General features: G+C 39.0%; 1 protein-coding gene across 22 annotated transcripts in view; it reads right to left on the bottom strand.

Moving 5' to 3' along the window:
* The window catches only part of KDM4C (lysine demethylase 4C), a 454,786-nt gene that overhangs the window by 170,486 nt on the left and 262,029 nt on the right, over window positions 1–22,271 (bottom strand). For 20 of the 22 annotated variants that reach the window (NR_148680.3, NR_148679.3, NR_148677.3 and 17 more), the window contains 3 exons: window positions 20,759–20,997; window positions 18,497–18,819; window positions 14,639–14,747 (listed from right to left, as the gene is read on the bottom strand). Coding sequence is in view for 16 of the 22 variants with exons in the window: in NM_001146696.2 (NP_001140168.1) it covers window positions 14,639–14,747; window positions 18,497–18,819; window positions 20,759–20,997 (671 nt within the window). In the remaining 6 variants the exon portion in view is untranslated. Of the gene's footprint in view, window positions 1–14,638; window positions 14,748–18,496; window positions 18,839–20,758; window positions 20,998–22,271 lie in introns of all 22 variants that reach the window. The other 2 variants (NR_130707.4, NM_001304340.4) reach the window with 2 other exon arrangements.

Here is a 22,271-nt window from a genome sequence, read left to right as displayed (position 1 = left end):
CACCCAGCCTACTCATGGGGTCTTAATGCTAACCTTTGTTCTACCATGGGTGCTTAATTGCTTTCTACTCAGGAAGCCCACAATGTCAACTACCTTCTAGTGGTGTTGACTCAAGCCTTTGTCAATTAATCTTTACTGAATAAATGTGAGTCTCGCTGGCTGGTCGGGGCCATGGCTGTGACTAAGTAGCCCGGACACTCAGTAGAACTGGCAAAGCAGACTATCTGTGTGTCAGTGTACTTTATTCATCAGTCATTGGGTCAGGGTCTGCAGGACAGAACCCCGCAGCAGCCATCCAGAAAATTTCTGAAAATGTATGCTGTAAATGTATGCTTAAACACTGTAATGTGTTTAAGATGACAACACAGATTAGAACAGAGCCAATCTAGACAGACGCCAAGTTATCTCCTATATATAAGTATTTCCATCAAAAGGTTTAGCCTTGTAGGGAAAATAAAAGCCTTTATTCTCCCATTCACTCAAAAACATCATTGAATATAATTGATGGTAATAAAGAAATTAATGTCTTTTACAAAAGTATCTAAAAGAATCTTTTTTAAAATATGCAAATAAATTATGGCATAGCTATATAATGCATACATTAGAAGAAATGCTTTTGAGGATTAATGAAATATACAGTATGACTATATATATTACACAACATATTAGTTGAATATAATATAATCAATAAAAAATGGGAGCACAAAACCATGTATAGGGAACATTGCCAATTCTATTTAAAAGGTTAAATGTCTGGAATAAAGAGGCTTTTTAAGTTTTCATAGTTATAAAAATATGTCATCTTAAAAGTTTTTTAAAAACTGCTGTCAAAATAATATTAGGTGAGAACTATGAACTGGGGGAAACCTTGCCTTAAGAACAGATTTTTGCCAGATTCGTTCACTCACTCAGGACAGTATCTTTGAACAAATTTTGTTACATGTAAGTGACGTCCCTAAGGAAAATTATTCAGGCCATTTGTGAAAGGGCTGCTGCCAGGACTTGTGGATGGAACTCAGCAGATGAGAAAAGCTATCAGCTCCACTACAGTATAATTTCCCTTTGCCAGTCATCACACTCATTCTGCTGCTTGGGGTGATGCTCCAGTGAGGTGTTTTGGCTGGTACAGCACCATTCTCTACTATGAAAAGCACAGCAGCATCTGTTACGTTTCAGGTACTTGAGCAAAATCTCAGTCCTGGGAGGCATTTATATATGGTTTCAAACATCCTGCAGGGAATGGGGGGTGTAGTGGGGTGGGATAAGTGCAGAAGTGAGATACTCAAAAAGGCAAAGATTCAAACTTGGGAACTTTATAATTTCTGTACTGAATAATGTATGAAACTATATTTAAGTGATTTTTTTGAAATGCTGACCTTCAAACATTTATAAAGCTGTGTTCAAAAGTACAAAAGAGAAAAAAATTACAGGACTTTAGGTATGATTTTACTAAGAAGTGATGACATTGAGGAAAAATCAAATTCTGCATTACAGTTCCCCCAAAATGCTAATGTAATAATGGATAGCAGAGAATTCTACAGTTTAAAGTCTAAAGCACTTAAGAAATTAAATGGATGTATATAGTTTTGTTCTTTATGTATCACCTCTCAATAACACTGATACAAAAGTATTTCAGAAGGATACATTCCAAATGACTCTATATACACTTTAAATAAGAAACATTCCAAAGGACACAACTTCAAAATTCCTATTACCAAAAAAAAAAAAAACACCCATGATAATTATGCTACCTCTGAGGAGATGGGTTTCACCAGGAACTATGGCATTACCAGCGTGGCTGAAGTTTCTTACAGAACATTAGCTCATATTTTATATATATTTTATAACACGCATGAACAAAAACAAGGAATGCTGGGAAGTTTATCTACACTATTAACAAAGGTATCTGGCTATAATCAGACATTTATATGTGTCCACTTCAACTTCTTTTACCAGTATTCTAGCTATTTTGGGAGGTTGTTAGTGTTGAAAGAGTAGGCTGGACACAGTGGCTCACGTCTGTAATCCTGGCACTTTGGGAGGGCGAGGCAGATGGATCACTTGAGGTCAGGAGTTCGAGACCAGCCTGACAAACATGGTGAAATCCAGTCTCTACCAAAAATACAATACAAACATTAGCCGAGAATGGTGGCAGGCGCCTGCAGTCCCAGTTACTCGGGAGGCTGAGACAGGAGAATCACTTGAACCTGGGAGATGGAGGCTGCAGTGAGCCGAGATCGTGCCACCGCACTCCAGCCTGGCAGACATAGCAATAGTCTATCTAAAACACAAGAGTGTAGAGTGTAAACTTTGGAATTGAACAGACAGTATTTAAAGCCTGTTATCTACCACTTACTAGCTTTGTGATCTAGGACAAGTGAATTCATGTCTATGAGCTTCGATTGCCTTACCAGTAAAAATGATGCTAGCATCATCTAAAATAATTATAAGTAATGGTTACTAGTAATGTGTACAACAAATAGGAGGAAACCAGCTCAGTCAATTCTCACATCATGGTAGGAATGAGAAGAAGAAAACTCCTAAAGAAAGCTGGCATATCCTTGGGAAACTTAGCTGTCAACATGGCACCAGAAGGAACATATTCTGAGCATCAAATCAAAGATAGGTGAAAAAGGAGAAAGAGCCACATGATCTGAAGAGAAATAATAGTATTAATACATTTTAAAATTGCTAACACAGTAAAAGTCTCATGTTCTCACCACAAAATATTATGTATTTAAGGTGACACATAAGTCAACTAACTTATTCCACATTGTACTAATAAAACGTAACACCATTTTGTACCCCATAAATTTATACAATTATAAATTGTCAATTTACAATTAAAAAACAAAGATAGGTACTAAGCATATGAAATTCACCATATGCTAGGTAATATAAAAGATTCTGGAAATAAGAAATTAAAAGCAACAGCCCTTTCCCTTTATGGAGTTCAAAACTACCCATGGGAGGCAAGTGCGGTGGCTCATGCCTGTAATCCCAGCATTTTGGGAGGCCAAGGCAGGAGGATCACTTGAGGCCAGGAGTTCGAGACCAGCCTGGCCAACATGGAGAAACCCTGTCTCTACTAAAAATAGAAAAACTAGCCAGGTGTGGTGGTACGTGCCTGTAGTCCTAGATACTCGGGAGGCTAAGGCAGGAGAATCACTTGAACCCAGGAGGCGGATGCTGCAGTGAGCCAAGATTGTGCCACTGCACACCAGTGTAGGCAACAGAGTAAGACTCTGTCTCAAACAAACAAACAAAAACCACTCATGGGAAAAACCTCCAGATTCATAAGCTATTTCATTAACAGCATATACAATACAAAGTCAAAAGATGGCAAAACAAGATCTCCAAGCAAGAAACTATTAACACTAGCATGATGCAATCTACATGAAAAAGAAGCTCCCCATACCAAAAAAAAAAAGATGTCAGCTTTGGTCATCTATGTAAATGACAGCAGGAATCACAGATATTTTGACCCAACAACTAATAGGAGTTATCACGTGGCAGATCACACAAAACAGCTGCTAGGGAGAGAACTTCAAGTAGGGTGGCCATCACACCAACTAAGGAAGATAAAGACATGGACTATTCAGGGGAGCATACAGAAATAAGGAGAGAACAAGGCTATACATCTTCTTCCTCTCATTTCCCTTCAAAATACATTACATGGTCCTGTCAGCTCTACCTCATGAAAGATTCAATCTTCTCCTGGGGGTCCCCAAGAAGATTCTTAACCCAGATCCATGGTTCACTCACTTGAAGGCATTATCAAGTTTACTCCTCAAGAAAAGACTTCATCAACAACTATGGAAATATTTATGTAACACTCAAACACATATACATATCATAGCCAATCATTCCTCCTTAAGTTTCTAGTTTTTAAAGCACAACAAAAATCTCTGTAAAACAAAACAAAGAACATAAACACTAAAACAATGGAATATCAATCCAGAATTTATAGGTTCACTTGACAGGTATAAAGATATACTCATCTCACCATTTCTCTGAAGCCTGGGAACCTAACACCTCCAAAAGGGAAAAGGACTAAAACAACTCTATGAAAATTAAAATGCTGATAAAGAGAGCCACCTTCTAACCATTCACTAGCTGGAAGTCTTGGACATGTTACTTAACTTCCATGACCAACGTGCACAAATGCCAACCTGTAGAATGTTGCCAGCCAGGACTAAGTTTTCATTGGCCAGCGGCAAAACAAAGAATATGAAGACATAAAGTCACCACAATATTAAAATTTGAAATATACATAAACTTTCCATGCTGATTCTACATCTTCAGAGCTAATTTTACAACCAAAGAAAAGGTGAAAGTAACAATGAAAACAAAGTGTACCAAAATATGTGCTAATTCGGTGGTCTATAAGGCTGAGACATTCTATCTCCAAGAAAAAGAAACTGGCGTTCAGGTTGAAAAAAATGTAAAGTAACACACTTGAGTTGTATGAAATTGCAGTTTTCATAGAGTAAAAAAAATTTCAAATATTGACAATTTCATATATATTATAACCTAATACAATCATTATTTTTCTAAAGAATTGAATGCACCATGAAACTGTGCTATCAAAATCTGTTCCTGGGTAGTTTTCTACAGGACTTTAAGAGTAACAAGGTTATGGTTGAATTTATTTATAAGTTAATTTTAAAAAAATAACAAGGCATACATGAACCCAAAGACTCAAACTCTTTCTTATCATCTTACAATCTCCATGCTTTTAGCACATTCAGAAACCTGATCATAAGATTTCATGCTAATCATTGTTTAGAAAAGTTTCAAAATTGAAAGTAAGAAATACAGAAAGCAACAGCATCACATAAATTATAAAGCCAGCATTTTTGTCTCTAATTTAATCAAAACCTGACCAAGCCACTAGCATAATAAAAGTGAGGTGGTTTTGATTTTTTTATTCACCATACTACAGTAAAAATCAACGCCACTGGGACTTCCAGTGGAATTTACTGACAGAAATAAGGCTAAACTGAGAACACCAAATTATTATTACAAACCTTAAGCACTAGATAAAATATCCATTTTATCTGAATGCCAACAACATCTAATGTTTTGTGTCCACATAACGCAGGAAAACACTGGCTGTGACCTATCAACAAACATTCCAAGCCAATCTACTTAGTAATCTGCTGAATTTGCTGTTTTATTGCTTAAACAGACAGAACTATAAATGTGCTTATTATGAAAGTATAGTAATACCTCAAGCTAAAAAGAATTGATGGAACAAAGAGATCATTATGTAAAAATTAATAACATTTGGAGCATGACATGCAGCAGCCATCACACAGCATTTATTTTTCAAAACTGGCAGGGAAAAGAACTTTTTACGCAGGGGAAAGACTTTCAATGGGAGATGTACCTATTCGTAAGCCAAGTCGCAGCCTGCCTACCCTAAAGCAGACAGTCATGTACCCAGTAGCATCTGGAAAACAAAAGATTGTTTTTTTTTTTTTTTTTTTTTTTTGAGACGGAGTCTCGCTCTGTCGCCCAGGCTGGAGTGCAGTGGCGCGACCTCGGCTCACTGCAAGCTCCGCCTCCCGGGTTCACGCCATTCTCCTGCCTCAGCCTCCCGAGTAGCCGGGACCACAGGCGCCCGCCACCACGCCCGGCTAATTTTTTGTATTTTTAGTAGAGGCGGGGTTTCACCGCGTTAGCCAGGATGGTCTCGATCTCCTGACCTCATGATCCGCCCGCCTCTGCCTCCCAAAGTGCTGGGATTACAGGCGTGAGCCACCGCGCCCGGCCTGTTTTTAATATTTAAAATAACATTTATATTTAATACTTTAAAAAAATTTGTAATTTCTGAATCAAAAAGACATCATCATTATATTTGGTCAACATATTCACTTAATAAATCCTTAAAATAAGAGACACAAAATTAAGACTGGCAAATCTACATCAATACAGTTAAAACAGAGAGTAACAGCTTGCCAGGAGCAGGAGGGCATAATTTTCCCCAAACACCTATCTACAAAAGGTAAAGGGCAACAGCCAATTCTAAATTCTAACTCTTTGATTTCTAGTTCTATTTCTAAATTCCACTTCTAACTAATGTCCTTTTGTTTGAGGGACAATTGCAAAGTGTCTGAGAGCCAGCTTGTGTAGTAAAAGTACCAGCAGGACAATGACTACAAGACACGGGGTGAAGTACTCAGAAAATACCACGGGAAATCCCAGGCGATGCCAGAAAAAAAAACAACCTAGAATGAAGTGCAATCAGTGGGCAGCTCTAGTCCTGGGAAAACACACATAGGACCACTTTAGTATTCAATTGTTATAAACAATTTTTTGTTGTTGTTGTTGTTGTTTGTTTGTTGGTTGGTTTGTTTTTTTGGAACCAGAGTCCTGCTGTGTTGCCCAGGCTGGAGTGCAATAGCATGATCTCAGCGCACTGCAGCCTCCACCTCCCAGGTTCCAGCGATTCTCTTGCCTCAGCCTCCCAAGTAGCTGGGATTACAGGTGTGTGCCACCACACTCAGCTAATTTTTGTATTTTTAGTAGAGGCAGGGTTTTGCGATGTTAACCAGGCTGGTCTCGAACTCCTGACCTCAGGTGATCCGCCTGCCTCGGCCTCCCAAAGTGCTGGGATTACAGGCGTGAGCCACCAAACCCAGCCTATAAACAATTGTTCTAATAAAAGAAATGTGAACTAGAGAAAACCATTTAAGGAAGTAATCAAATTTAGTCAAACGGGACTTCCTGAGATTTCACTTACTTAAAAGTGAATAAATGTATACATTTTATTCTTCAAAACAACAGAAAACCTGGGTTAGATGGGTTAAATGATGGTTAAACACCAAGAAAGATCTCCAATTCCACCTCTTCTGTCTGTATATTTAAACACTCAATCCATTACTGAATAAAATATTATATATATACAGACGTCCCAAGAAATAAATTACTGTAACATTGCCTGAAATACACTCTTAATCTAATCCTCAAGGCATGCAGACATTACAGAGATAGGGATCAGGGTGTAAGCTGTCTTTAATTTCAAAAAGATGCTTAACAGCTCATTACAGTAGTGCACTTGCTGAACTGATGACTGATGAAAAGTTATTTGGAAAATTCAGATTAGAGAAAATCAGACCCAAAACCAGGGCTTTAATCTGAATATTGCCAATATCCAAACTTGTATTAACAGATGAGGCTGCCTCTGCACTTGACTAAACACAGTACACTTGGTTATCTGCATCTTTCCAACTTTCTGTGTTGATTATTCTAGAAAACATAAAATTATAGTTGAAGAGTTATAAGTAAAAGTTTAGATTAATGGCAATCAGCTCTTTGGAAAAGCAGCCTTCAACCTGTCACCACATGCTATTTCAGGGGATTCAAAATGCCCAAAATCCATATATGAACTTACAGGTTAGGAACACTTATCATTCATGACCAAGCCTCACATTTTACACAGGAGGAAAGAGGCCAGAGAGAGGGCTTACCCAAAGTCAAAAAACATATAAAGCACAAAGTCAAGACTCCAAAATCTATTGACTGTTAGTCAACCAGACTTTTATTCAGTGGGTGTTCAAAGATTTTGCAACTGCTTGTGCCAGATGCCCCAGAGGCATGAATCGCCAGCCTAAGTTGCATTTTAAATTTCTCACTTAGAAGAAGAGGTATAAACTTGACCACATGGGTAGGAATTCTTAGAATAACTTTCTCTTCTATCATATTGCCCTTCACCATCCAAGCCTAAGTTTCAGGCAAGCAAGCTCTCTTGTTTTTGTTTGTTTCTGGATTTTGTTTTCCACTTTTTCTTTTTCTCAAGTGTGCACTTAAGTAAAGGTGTAGGCTTTTAAGGCTCCAGCTCCGCATGTCTGAGGGGCCCTTTAGTTTCCTAGTTCTGATCGCTCTGCGCCCATTCTGGTCCTGGAAAATTTCTCCTCAACGGCCACAACTTGGCTCCCCCTTACCAATCAGCTGTCACTTTCCCCCTCTCCTTACAACAGCAACAACAAACAGTCATTATGTGCCAAACACTTTTTTAACCCTCAAAACAATTCCTCCATGCGGCAGGTGCTGCTACCATCACTACTTTGTAAACGCAGGCACCGAGGCATCACACAGTAGAGTGCTGGAGCCGACTGACCCTCATTTGTAGGCATGGAGAGATATTATCCTTTGTGCTATTTTTGCCTCTCTATGCAAGTATAAAAGTTGTTTATTTTATATTAGCCATTATTTCTAGTTGTTTTATACCTAGGGTATTATCAGATAACCCACTCCATCATATTGACACTCTGTAAAAAACACTTGTTTGGCCAAATATAAAAGAAATGTTTGTCACAGAAAATATGAAAAATTATCAGCATAAAAAAGAAAACTAAAATCACCTAATAACAGTCTTGCAATTTTCTTATAAATTTCCAGTTAACTTTCACAGACTCCAACAAAACTTCACTGTCAGCACAAGTATGTTAGCTATACTCACCACTAGCACATGGTGGGAATCGCTGAGCAGAGGAGTATCACTGTGTCAGCAAATGCCATGCTCACGACGTCCTCTGTACACTAGCACGGCTTGTCCTTAGTTTACAATTGCATTAGAAACATCATTAACCTCATCTCTTAACCAAGGGGATTGGAAGCACAATAAGCACAAAAGCAGTGAGCAGACTAGAAGTAACAGTAGGAAAAGCTGGAAATTTTTTATTGAAAACAATTTTTCCATTTTTAATTGAAAACAATATAGTAAAATAAGAAATGTTGGGAAACAAATGCACACATGTGCAGGATGAAAGCTTCAAAGAACAAACAATGCACCATGAGGCCAGAAGAAGGGGGAAGGGGGTGTGATAAAGCACATGTTCAGATACTGATGTCAATGCAGGATGATTATTAGCCCAACGTCACTTCAAGGGAAGTTCTGGAGTTGGCGTCAGCACGATTAAAGTGCTGCTGATAAGAATGCTAGTGAGAAGAAGCTTGCCATGGCTTAAAACATTTGTGAGTGTGAATCACATCAAAATGGGCAGCAAGGCAACAAACAGAGATACCAAAGTGGGTGAGGGATGAGAAATTAATTACCTCATGGGTACAATGTACACTATTCAGGTGATGGTTAGACTAAAGTCCAGACTTCACCACTATGCAGTATATCCATGTAATAAATCTGAACTTGTACCCCCTAAATATATTTTTAAAACTTAAAACCTGCAGGGCCGGGCGCGGTGGCTCACGCCTGTAATCCCAGCACTTTGGGAGGCCGAGGTGGGCAGATCACGAGGTCAGATCGAGACCATCCTGGCTAACACAGTGAAACCCCATCTCTACCAAAAATACAAAAAATTAGCCGGGCGTGGTGGCAGGCGCCTGTAGTCCCAGCTACTTGGGAGGCTGAGGTAGGAGAATGGTGTGAACCCAGCAGGCAGAGCTTGCAGTGAGCTGAGACTGCGCCACTGCACTCCAGCCTGGGCGACAGTGCGAGACGCCATCTCAAAAAAAAAAAATTTAAAACCTGCAAAGGTGTAAGTACTTTCTGAAACCATCAAAAGATAATTACTTGCCTCAAAATATTTCCAATGTAAACAAACCTAGCTGAACTGTATTTTACCACTTAACCTTATATTGGAGGCATTATCCCAAGAGTGCTAAAGATGATACTTTGAAAACATTCTATATAGCTGCATAATGTTTCAGTGAATTGCTACACCATGACCATGCTTCCCTTGAACAATTCCCTTTTATGAGACATTTACCTTATTCAAGGTAGGCTTTCATCTCCATGGCAACTATTCTCTGTGTGGAAATACCACATTGTGTGTGTGTGTGTGTCTGTGCCTGTGTGTCTGTGTGTGTCCATACAGGTGTATGTACACACATTTATGTTTCAAAGAATGGTTTTATAAAGCAACAGAAATACAAACTGCAAAGATCAGGAAATTTAAGTTCACTAGTGACTTCTCCTGAACTGACTTAGTCTTGATCTTTCTTCTTTTCTTCCTCACACAACACTCCTTTCTCAGCAATCCAAAAAAAAAAAAAATCCTAGGAAAAAACCCATTCTCTAATTAATGTGCTGAAGACAACAGTATGCATCATTCCTTTGTTGTGGGTGGGGAAAAAAAAAACCACTCTCAGGACCACCGTAGCCTGTACAACCACCATAGCCTAAATAAGCTAGTCCTTAAAAAGGAGTCACTTACTGACCCAACGTAATGTCACAGCTCCAAAAGCCCTCAAACTCCAAGGCACCAGCCGCATCTACAATGGGTCAGCTGCATTTTAACTTTGAGGTAATTCTAGAAGTTGGCACAGTGGTAGAGAGATTTTCAATTCTGTCAAGATACAAAACTGAAAGAGCTGACATATTAAATATATAATTTATCACATTTATATTGGTAATTAAAACAACATGTTTTTCTATACACATATATAGGGAGACTATTTCCTGGACAAGGATTTACATTTTTCTTTTAATATGACAGTATGTAACACGTTGAGGTACTTAACTTTTTAATGGCTGATTTCAAGTATTACTGATTGCCTTATCCAGGGCATTCCCACTCTTGAATCCATAAGTGATTTAAGCTACCATGATTGCAGGGAAATGTTCACTACCAAAAGCATGATAGGGGAAGCAAAAGAGAGGAATGAGAGTGGGGAGACAGATACACGGACAGACAAATAACAAACCACAGTGTAAGGTGATCAGTGGTGCAAGAGAACCAAGCACATATGGAGTCTATGGGCGGTAGAGGTGGAAGAGGAGAGGTGAGTGGTGACAAGGGATTGAAACATTCCAAGAAGGAAAAGAGTGCCACACATAATGTAACAGCCTGGGCAAATACATGGAAGAAAAGCAGCAGGGGGAGGGTAAGGAGAAGTTGTCTAAATCAGGGGTCCCCAACTCCCAGGATATAGAATAGTACCAGTCCGTGGCCTGTTAGTAAACAGGCCACACAGCAAGGGGTGAGCAGAAGCCTAAGCTCCACCTCCTGTCAGATCAGCAGTGGCATTATACTCTCATAGGAACACAAATCCTATTGTGAACCATGCATGTAAGGGATCTAGGTTGCACACTCCCTATGATAATCTAATGCCTGATGATCCGAGGTGGAACAGCTTTATCCCAAAACCATCCCCACCCCTATACCCCTGCCCCATCCATGGAAAAACTGTCTTCTACAAAACCAGTGCCTGGTGCTAAAAAGGCAGGGGAATGATGGTCTGAACAGAAAGGAAGACTCACGTCGCAAAGTTAAGGGAAATGAAGCTAGAGAGAGCAGGCAGCATTGAATGACAACTGGTTTCAAAGCCACACAAAGAAATTGAGCATTTAACCTGTACTGAAGCATTTTACAATTCCAGGAAACCTGAGAGCTTCTGAGCAGGCATCCTCACCAACCAAAAACAAAGAAAGAAAGAAATACTGCCGCAGATTTCTAAGCTGGCCGCCCTTCAGTGGGTTCATCACATCTAGTACGTTCCATGGCCAGAGACAGAGCATTGCCCTCTCCCCTAAGTGCACGGGTGCACCAGAGCATGCATAGTTCACCCATGCACTTCATACACATCCTCCTTCTCTATGGACAGTGAACTCAGGAAAGAGCAGGAATATGCCAATAATATCAACAAATGGCAACAGAAGAATACGTACATATCCTGGATGCTTCGAGAATAAAACAATCCAAACAGCTTTGCTTATCAGTCTAGGTTTCAACACAACATTTGCGTAATTTTTAAACAACTGGGCAATAAAAAGAATTTTAATTGAAGTTTCAGTCACCTTATCCAGCTGCCTAACCTTAGAAAAACATGCAACTGAAAAACATTTCAGTTAAAAGAAAAAAAGAGGCAGTTTAGTATTTTCATTTAAGTTATAAAATATAAACATGTAGTATATATTTAACATTATTTTTCACCAAAAAAGAATAAGTTAGATGCTAATTTTTATGTAAAGATACATTCTAATCATTATTCTTTTATTACATAGCCCCCTCTTCTCCACCACCACCAACTTTCATGTTTTGCTGTTCAACATGGAAAATCTTTTCCCGGAAAATAACAGGCTAGGAGTCACGAAGTCCTTCCTGATCCTGTAATTACAGGATGTGCCACCAGTCAGAATGATCTATGGTGTTTCAGGTTATTTGGGTATCAAAGAGCCACTGCACTGTCCTAAAGAGAATAGCAACGTACAAGTGGCTCATCTCTCAGCTGCCAGTGGCATAGCAGCTCCCAGAGGTCCTGGACCAAGTCACTTTCCCCTGTGCAGCCTTTCTGTTAGGGAGAAACTTTCCAGCTTCAATAGAGAAATGCTCGTTCACCAACAGAAGACACTGATTGTTGTTTAAAGATGCAATTCTCCTATGCTCTAATATAGTTATGCTCCTACGTATGAGGAGTGCAAAAGGAGCAGAATAGTTAGGACAGAAAATCCCCCAAAGGAGTTGGATTTGGAATTGTATGCTCCCAGTGAGTAAAACACTCACTGCACATCACAATCTAACAATGATAATGTTTATTCACTTTCAACTTTGCAAGCAACATAGACACAGAGGCAAATGGCTAAGGTAACATTCAAGTTCCCAATGATGTAAATAATTTACTTCGGGCAACAGAATATTCTCTGTTGCCAGTTTGAAAGCTTGTAAAAACTTTAAGCCATCACAAAACTTCTCTGATTTTTCTAATCAATTCTGAAAAATCCCCAGAGGTCACCAGGGGTCCTTAACATATTAGAAAGGAAAGAAAGACTGTTGCAAAAGCTACAATCATCGTTTCTACAAAATATGTAACCTCAAACCCTTGAGACGACTTCATCAAACCAATCCATTTATAAATCTTGCAAGCTATACAAACTGAAATCAGAACTGCTTTCCAAAAAGAAACTCTGGGCCAATTTATGATGGCCCACATCAAAATAAACTTCCTAGGCAAATAAGGACACAGGAGAAAGCAGCTTTCTCTATGTGTTGGTACAGCCTTAGCATAGCCTATTCCCTTCACAAAAGTTATACTGAAGAGAGTCTACCATGGGAAAGGGAAATTACAATCATGAGCATTATACATTAAGTATTAATTACTTTACACAGAATTGTCATATGTCTTAACACTAAAGGGAAAATGGTTTGTACTGGGTATAATAAAGTAGCAAAAAAAAAAGAAAAAGAACTCAACATTATGATATATGGAAATCAATGCAAATATGTTTCATTACTTCTATTACTTGAATCAGAATTCAACCCTGGATTGGTTTCATACAAACTACTATGATCCCTAATCCCTACATTCATGATATTTTTACTTTTTTATGATACAGGGTCTCCCCAAGTTGCCCAGGCTGGTCTTAAACTCCTGAGCTCAAGCAATGCTCCCACCTCTGCTTCCCAGGCAGCTGGGACTGCAGGAGTCAGCCACTATGCCCTGCCATGATCTTGTTTTCTAACTAAACATGGGACATAAGTGAAAAGTGAGTGAAAGGGGGAAAAAATCTGTGAAAGATATCTACCTACTCTGATAAATTTATTTAAACAAGAAACTTGAGCTTCTTGTTACTCACTTAACAGTATTCTCACAGACACATGACCTTAGGTAATAATTTCCATAAGTAAAACTGGAGAATACTTCAGAGAAGGACTCTTAACAGAAAACCTGCCTGAATTAATCCTCTAAACACAGAAAAAATAAGGCCTTCATGATGCTAGGAGACATATACAAGACACTTACGAATCAGGGATCTGATTTTTAATTTGAGGCAACAAAAATTTCTTTTTTATAAAAGAAAGGTGAGAAGGGTAACCAGGCATGCAGTGGCTAATGCTTATAATCTCAGCACTTTGCGGGGCTGAGGCAGGAGAAATGCTTGAGCTCAGGAGTTCAAGACTAGCCTGGGCAATAGCAAAACCCATCTCTACAAAAAAAAATTTTTTTTTTAAATTAACCAAGCATGATGGTGCATGCTTGTGGTCCCAGCTGCTTGGGAGGCTGAGGTAGGAGGATCACTTAGGCCTGGGAGGTTGAGGCTGCAGTGAGCCGTGATCACCCTCCACTGCACTCCAGCATGAATAACAGAGCGAGACCCTGTCTTGAAAAAAGAACAAAAGGGGGAAAAAGATAAATTTACATCTAGGAATGGTAAATGATTGTAAATGAAACTGCGTTACATCCAGCTGCATCACAGCGATCTAGTGAAGGAAAAAGGATGTTTCACCCCACACCAGTTACAAAAGGATATGGAAAAGGATATGGCACATAGACTTTTACTGAAGGTGGTTAAATTAATGTAAAGAGTTGAAGTTAAAAGTAAAGACAATGTAAAGAAACCTACAGCACGTTAACTCTAAAATCTAACACCTTTAGAGAAATGAGTCTCAGCTTCTTCTGTAGAACCCTAAAACATGTCAAGGCTGACTGATTTTACCCCATGACATAAAACTGGAAGACTTTTACCAGTAATAAGGCTAGCTTATATGAAGTACGTCTTTACCTCTAAGTTCCAAATTCCTTTTACCTGTAAATTATTTATTATGTATGATCTCCTAATAGTACGTATTTGCTACTTGTTGAATTTTTTTTCTATTCAGCAATTTTTTTTACAATAGTTTGTTTTACACACCAAAAAAAAAAAAAAAAATCCCAAAAAGGGTCACCATCTCACCTTCATCACTTGGCGCCTGCTGCTTCACAAGAGTCATCGGAGATCTTGCTGGAGGCCTGCTAAGTGGATGGCGCCAACTCTTAGAGGTTTTGTTCTCTCCCTCTGCTATCTAGTTATAGAACAAAAATGGTGGAGAAATACCATTATCAAAAACAAACTACAAAAAAAAAAAACCCTACAGTTCACAATTATTTATCACTTAATGTTGAAGAAATCTTGTGGTTGTTTACCTCTTGGGGAACTAGTCCTTTAAGAAATTTAAACTTAAGGTCAAAAGAAATAGGAATCAATTCTATTAGTAATTTTAGCCAGAGGTCAATTAATTCTTCTTCCACTTTGTATTAAAATACAAGCTGTAGGGCAGGGTAGGCTTATTAAACCTGCAATAAGCTCAGCAGTTAACAAGTTTTCTAAAGTTCTTACAACTAATGTAAATTTAGGATTATAGGCCAGGCACAGTGGCTCATGCCTGTAATCTCAGCATTTTGGGAGGCCAAGGTGAAGGGATCCCTTGAGCCCAGGAGCTTGAGACTAGCCTGGGCAACATAGGGAGACTCTGTGTCAATAATTTAAAAAAAAAAAAATAGCCAGGTATAGAGGCATATGCCTGTGGTCCCAGGTCCTCAGGAGGCTAAGGTGGGAGGATCCCTTGAGCCCAGGAGGTGGAGGCTGCAATGAGCCAAGATCAAGCCACTGCACAACAGCCTGGGTGACAGGGCAAGACCCTGTCGCCAAAAATAAATAAGTAAATCTAAGATTGCATTCTCATAAAAATACAGGACTGTGGCTCTTGGTCACCTCTAAGATGTTCCCATGTTAACATTTAGCAAGGAATTTTATTTTCTATCCTCACAGAGAAGACAATACTGCAACACTTCTTTCCATTCAGAAATGAATCACCACTTCTAGATCACATAAATAACAATTAAACAAGAAACCAAAAGTATTCTCTTTTTTTAATGATACATTAATGCCATGTTGAAACCACTTAAATTTTACCAATGATTTTTTTGTCCTGGGATTTACAGACTATATATTCCTTTCCCGGGTAGAAAGTCATGTGTATCCTTACACCTTCCAGCTAGGACCCACCTTTTAAGCTCTCTTGCTCGCACAACGCAAAATTTTTAAAGGCAGGGGGAAGGGAAAGAGGATATCAGAGAGAGTTTGAACCCAGCAAGCTTACATCAAGAGTTGACTATGAAAGAAAACAATCTTAGTCTTCTTCCCGGTAAGCTGAAGAAGCAGTGGCCAGATATAGGGAAACTACTCTGGCCTCTGACTCCAACACATGATTCTAAGAAAATGTGTAAGACCATTGTAATCAAAGCTAGGAATAAGAAAAGAATGACAAATGCAATATACGATGACAGCTATCTATGTTTATAATAGCTAAAAAACAATATGGGAAATTATAACACAGCCAAGAAGACATATCAACACACTACTATGCACCATACCGTTGTCATAGCTGGAGCTATAGCAGGAAAAATTACATCAGGTTTCTGCTCTCAAGAAGTGTAGATTATAGAGGGGTAAGGGAATACATAATAAATGAATAAGTCGTATTTATCAAATACTACTCGGTAAATATGTAACGAAGGAAAATAAAGAAGGACAAAGGAATAGAAAGTGATGGGGAGGGGGCAGTTTTATAGGGTAATCAGAGAAGGCCTTTCTGATACAGTGATACTTGAGGGGAACTTTGAGTGCATACATATGATTATCTGGGGGAGGAGCATCTGGGGGAGCAAGAATAGCACGTAAAGTGAGAACATACTCGGTGTGTTCCAGGTACAGCTTTGAGCCCAAGATGAATGGATGGATGGATGGATGGATGGATGGATGGATGGATGGATGGATGGATGGCTTTAAAAAATAACATAATACTTATTGAGTAGATCAGCTAATGCCAGCAGCTATCAGCATACACATAGCATTACACTGAATACTAAAAAAAACTGACCAAAACTACACAAAAATTAAGTGGGGCTGTATTACATCTAGGAGTTATCCAACACCATGGTGTAAGAAAAGGATGTCATGCAGTTGTTCTTACAGGCAAGCCAAGCCTCTCAGCCTTCAATAGCAATGTTGGTTTCTCTACTGTCAGTCTTTGCTTGGGGAAATGATAAAGATGAAGATAAACAGCACTAGATCTATAATCACCTTCCTTGAGAGCAAAGAAATCTGAGAATTACTTTCAGCTCCATTCTACTTTAAAGAAGGTCGCTAAAAATAACTAAAGCAGGCATTTGACTCAGTCACCTGTCCAAAGAATGAATATCTGCTTGGCTACATTTAAGCCATTCATGAAATTAAGTTGCAAATTTTTTTTCCTTTTTTTTTTTTTTTTTTTTTTTTTTAAGAGACAGGGTCTCTCACTCTGTCACCCAGGCTAGAGTGCAGTGGTGGGATCACAGCTCACTGCAGCCTTGAATTCCTGAGCTCGAGTGATCCTCCTACCTTAGCCTCCCTAGTAGCTAGGACCACAGGCACACACCACTAAATTTTTTTTTATTTTTTTTTTGTAGACACAGGGTGTGACCATGTTGTCCAGGCTCATCTCGAACCTCTGGGCTCGAGGGGATCCTCCCACCACAGTCTCTCAAAGTGCAGGGATTACAGAAATAAGCCACCACATTTGGCCAAAGTTGTAAATTTTGCTTATTAGTATGTGAATGCTATTTTCAAACTACTCTTAGGCACCTTTTCAAAGAAACCAGACCATATTTTTTTTATCTTTCATATTTTTGATGTGTTTATAATTCAATGAGATATACAATTCTACATAAAAAGATAAACACTATTGGGTCAAATCAGAAAAGTATATTTTAATTAACATTTTAAGACTGATAAGACGCAAGGTATTCAAAGCTGCTGTCCTTATACAACCTCCCTTGCTCCTACTCAGGGACACAAGGATCTATTTTGAGTTGAAACCAGCAGGAGCAGTGTCTGTTCTGCAGCCAGCGCAACCTATCAGCTCAAACAATTACTCCTTCCTGATCCACCTGAATTCCCTAATCAGGCTGGATACATCAAAAAAAAGTACTGAATTCTGACAATCGCTACAGACAGTCCTAGCTCCCCTGATCCACTCTTATGGCTACATGGACAGTTTCTACTGAATATGGAATATTAATACTGTACAAGGACAATATTGTACAATTTTCCAAAAAGTCACAATGGGAAGCTAAATAATATAGAGGAGTCTTTTCTCAGAGGCAAAGGGCCTCTTTCGAGGAGGGGGCAGGACAAGAAAGGTCACCCTGGTCCTGAGATTCAGGGTCCATGAGGAAAGAGTAAGAAGAAAGCATGACCACGTGAGTCCTGACACTGAAATAGAAGCTGTGGGAAGGCTGGGACCAGGAGGTATTAACTATTGGCAGAAAGTGATCAGTGCCCAGCAGATGAATTCTTCTGCAGGTGACAGAACAATTCTGTAATCTTTACTGTATCAATGTCGATATGATTGTGACTTTGTACTATAGTTTTCTAAGATGGTAGCATTGGGAGAAACTGAGTAAAGGGTACAAAGAATCACTGTGCACTATTTCCCACAACTGCATACGAGTCTACAATTACCTCAAAGTAAAGAGTTTAATTTTTTAACAAAAAAAAGAAAATCAAGCATCGACACGTGGCCATAAGCTCCATGTGCTAAATTATCACTATGTGAGCCACAGCTCACAGGAGGCTTACCTCCCAGTTATTGAATGAATATGATTAAGACCCATAAATGTAAAATGTTATTTATCTGTGCCCTAAAGGAGGATTTCAGTGCACAGCATGTTGTTTTCAAAATGTGCTCTCACCATATAATGAATATGGTAAAAAATGGATATTGCCACATACACTGGGGACTTTGAAGCTATTTCTCTCTCCACTGGGGACCGCTGGGATTTCCCCAGGTTCAAGGCCATTCCCATGGCTCTCCACATCACTCTCTTCTCCCTCTGTTAACACACCATTACTCTCTGCCACTGATGAGCATGACTCAGGTGACTTTGGCCATGAAAGCTCGGATGGGTCTGATTTCTCGGGCTTCTCATAGCCACTAGACAATGGAATGGAATCATCAGCCTCACTGGATATAGAAGGTACACTTCTATATGCATAAGCTTTGTCATCCTCAGTTTTTATGTCTTCTGTTACAGATGTACTTAAGCAGCTGTTTCCTGAGGATAAAACAGAAGACTGTTAATAAATCATGCACTGTATTACTACTAAGTAGAATTGGTAAACTATTCCCAAATGATTCTGTATCTTACACACACATACACACGCATGCGCATGCACATACATGCACACACACAAAACAAACCTCATTTGTACCCATCACATACTAGCTCTGATACTGAACAACCCAGTTCTTCTACTCAAGTATTATGCCAGGGCTCAAAATCTGGAGATCAATGTGCAAAGAACCATGTAGTGACAGAACTAATGAAATTCAGGGCCCTTAGGCAAAACCATCCAGCAATTCATAAACTGGCTAATTAAACACAGTGTAAGAGAAAGCATGATGAGGAGCCGGGCACGGTGGCTCACGTGTGTAATCCCAGCACTTTGGGAGGCCAAGGCAGGTGGATCACTTGAGGCCAGAAGTTCAAGATCAGCCTGGCCAACACGGCGAAACCCCAGCTCTACTAAAAATATAAAAATTAGTTAGGCATAGTGGTGCACACCTTTAGTCCCAGATACTCAGGAGGCTGAGGCAAAAAAATCGCTTGAACCTGAGAGGCAGAGGTTGCAGGGAGCTATGATTGTGCCACGGCACTCCAGCCTGGGCGACAGAGAGAGACTCTGTCTCAAAAAAAATTTAAAAATTTTAAAAAAAGGGACTATAGTGAAATATCCATATGTATTGCCTAACTCTCTATTCTGCATTTGTTGTAATTCCCTTCCCTACCTTCTCTGCCTTGCTATCTTATATCCATTCATCAAAACTCAATTCAGATATCACCTTTGCCAAGAAACCTTGGCTATCCAGCTCTTGTGTGTTTGAAGTCCTTCCTTGGTAAACCAGCAACATCCTATGCAATCTCTATAATGCTACTTACCACATTGGATTGTAATTATGTGGTTATTTGCCTAGCTCTCCACTAAAACATGAACTCATTTTTTAAAAGTTCTGTGGTTTAAACTCTATCCACACAGCTATTTCAAGAGCAAAGGCAATGAGGCTGGAGTAGCAGCTGAGGACCAGTTTAGGACTATGTGAAGACTTTTTCTTTTATTATAGGTGGAATAATACTAAGAAGAAGGTAGTCACAAGACCTAAGCTTTTTTTCTTTTAAAGGATCACTCTAATGGCCACCTGGAGAACTGACTAGCGGGGGTGACTACAGCTGACATTCCTGAATAAGAAGGAAGCAATTGCTGCAGTCATCCAGGCAACAGCTATGGTGCCATGAGTGAGGAGGAAGCAGCAGAGGGAGTCGGATTCTGGCGGAGGGGGGAATCCCATGAGGAAGGATTTACAGGATGAGAAGTATGAGAGGAACACAGGAATTAGCTTATTACAATACAAAAACTCCAACAAATATGAAAGAGGCAAATCACTAAAGCAGTTTCAGAAAAATATGCTACCAAAGGGAGAAAAGGCAAAGTAGCTGAGATTTTCAGACAATGGCTTTAGTACAAAAGAGAAGCAAGGGGACTATACATGTCATTTCACTAGGTTGACTTTTCATTATTGTTGTTCTTAAAACCTTGATCTTTATTTTCTTCTTAAGTCGAAAGCTAAGAATCTACAAAGAATTATCTATAATTGGTTTTCTCTACTCATGTGAATTCAAAAGAAGCCTTCCAAAAACGTATATTGTAAATTGAGTTGCACGAAAAAAAAAAAACTCATTTTAGAATCTTCTTTTTTATTAAACCAAATAGGCACTGCTGACTGCTTGTCTCACAATTCTGCTACACATAGCAGTGAGGCTCCTGACTTTTACAATATTCCCTGGGACTATTGGTTGAGTTACCCATGACTTTGGTAGATTACTGATTAAGCTATGTGGACTAGTCAGATACTTGTCATAGTGAACATCCATTTAAGACATCTGATCATCAACCACCTACTACTTATATGTGAAACCTAATCAACCATCTTCTCACCTGAGAGTTTGATATGATCTGATAAATTCTGCTCCACCTGCATCCTGCTAGCAGATGACTCTTCTTCTGAAGATGCTTCTGTGTTCCTCAGCTTCACTGCTGCTTCTGACTTTTCACTGACCTTGAGGTCATCTGTGACTGAGTCGGGGTTAGGGACCTCTGCCCCATCGACTTCATCTGACACTTCCTCTTCCTCATCAGCCTTAGGCCTTTTAGAGGTAGACCTAGCACACTGGAAGCTGTCAACAAGAGAAGCAGTGGTCAGAGCGGGATGTCTGCAATGGATATGAAAAACACATCCCAATATAAATGTCATTTTCACTTGCTTAAAGAAGGAAACAACTGACATTGTTAATCACTATGCCAAGTCAATGTTCACAACTGAATGATTAAATTTGAAATCAAAATCTTAAACACAATTTTCTTATCAATCAATAAAACTTTAAAATTCACACAACTGTAAATAATTATTAAACATTATTTTGAAAAAGGGCCATTCCTAAAATTTTGTGACAACATTTTAAAAGTCTGAAAATAAAAATAAAGTAAAAAATGTTGAAATGAGACAGAAATAAAATCAATAAATAAAATATTTAGAAAATGAAGAAAATAAATAAAAATCAGAATATCCTGTTAGGCTAGTGCTAAAAGTAAATTTTTTATATTTCAAGGTAAACTACTGACTACTTTTCATTGAGTTTTGTATAATTGTCAGGTATGTATGAAAATAGTTCAAATTAAATGCCAATTCATCAATAGCGAAAGGATTTAAAACAGACACAGGCTAACTGGTGTGTGTGTGTGTGTGTGTGTGTGTGTGTGTGTGTGTGTCATAAAGACACTGTCTCACTATATTGTCCCGGGTGGTCTAGAACTCCTGGCCTCAAGTGATCCTCCCCCACTGCCTCCCAAAGTGCTGGGATAACAGGCATGAGCCACCACATTCAGCCTAATTTTATGTATTTAACATCGTACATCAACATACTATTTTCAGAGTGAACACAATTTTTATCTTCTTCCTGAGTATTTTCCAGCAGGTCACTTGATAGCTTTGGCATATATGCTTTTTACATATGAAACAAACATTCCTAACAATTAGGAACAATTACAAATCAACTCAAAGCAACAGTGTCCAAAACACACCCATATGTATTATACACACACAAGAAACCACCACAGGACTAAGCACTGTAGGAAGTCAGGGAGGGCAGAGAATAGGGTGGCCTGCGATAACCTATATAAATTAGCTTTCACTGCTACTGATGGCAGTAACTGCAGTAGTATGATCATCACCATCATTGCTTTTGTTGCAAATCCATGCATTGGCTGATGTGGGAAAATCTCAACATTATAAACAGTGTAGTATATGTGAAAAAAAGAAGGCTGACATGTGCTTGAGACATCAATGAATCATTCCCTTCATCAGACTTCCCTAAATGGGCTATTTCCAAAGGGAGATCAATAATCTCTAAATATCAAGCCACAAGGCTGAGCATATTAAACAAGCCCATAG

The sequence above is a fragment of the Homo sapiens genome, chromosome 9 (genome assembly GCF_000001405.40).
Source record: "Homo sapiens chromosome 9, GRCh38.p14 Primary Assembly".
Classification (NCBI taxonomy): Eukaryota; Metazoa; Chordata; class Mammalia; order Primates; family Hominidae; genus Homo; species Homo sapiens.
This window is presented reverse-complemented; position numbering and strand designations above follow the sequence as displayed.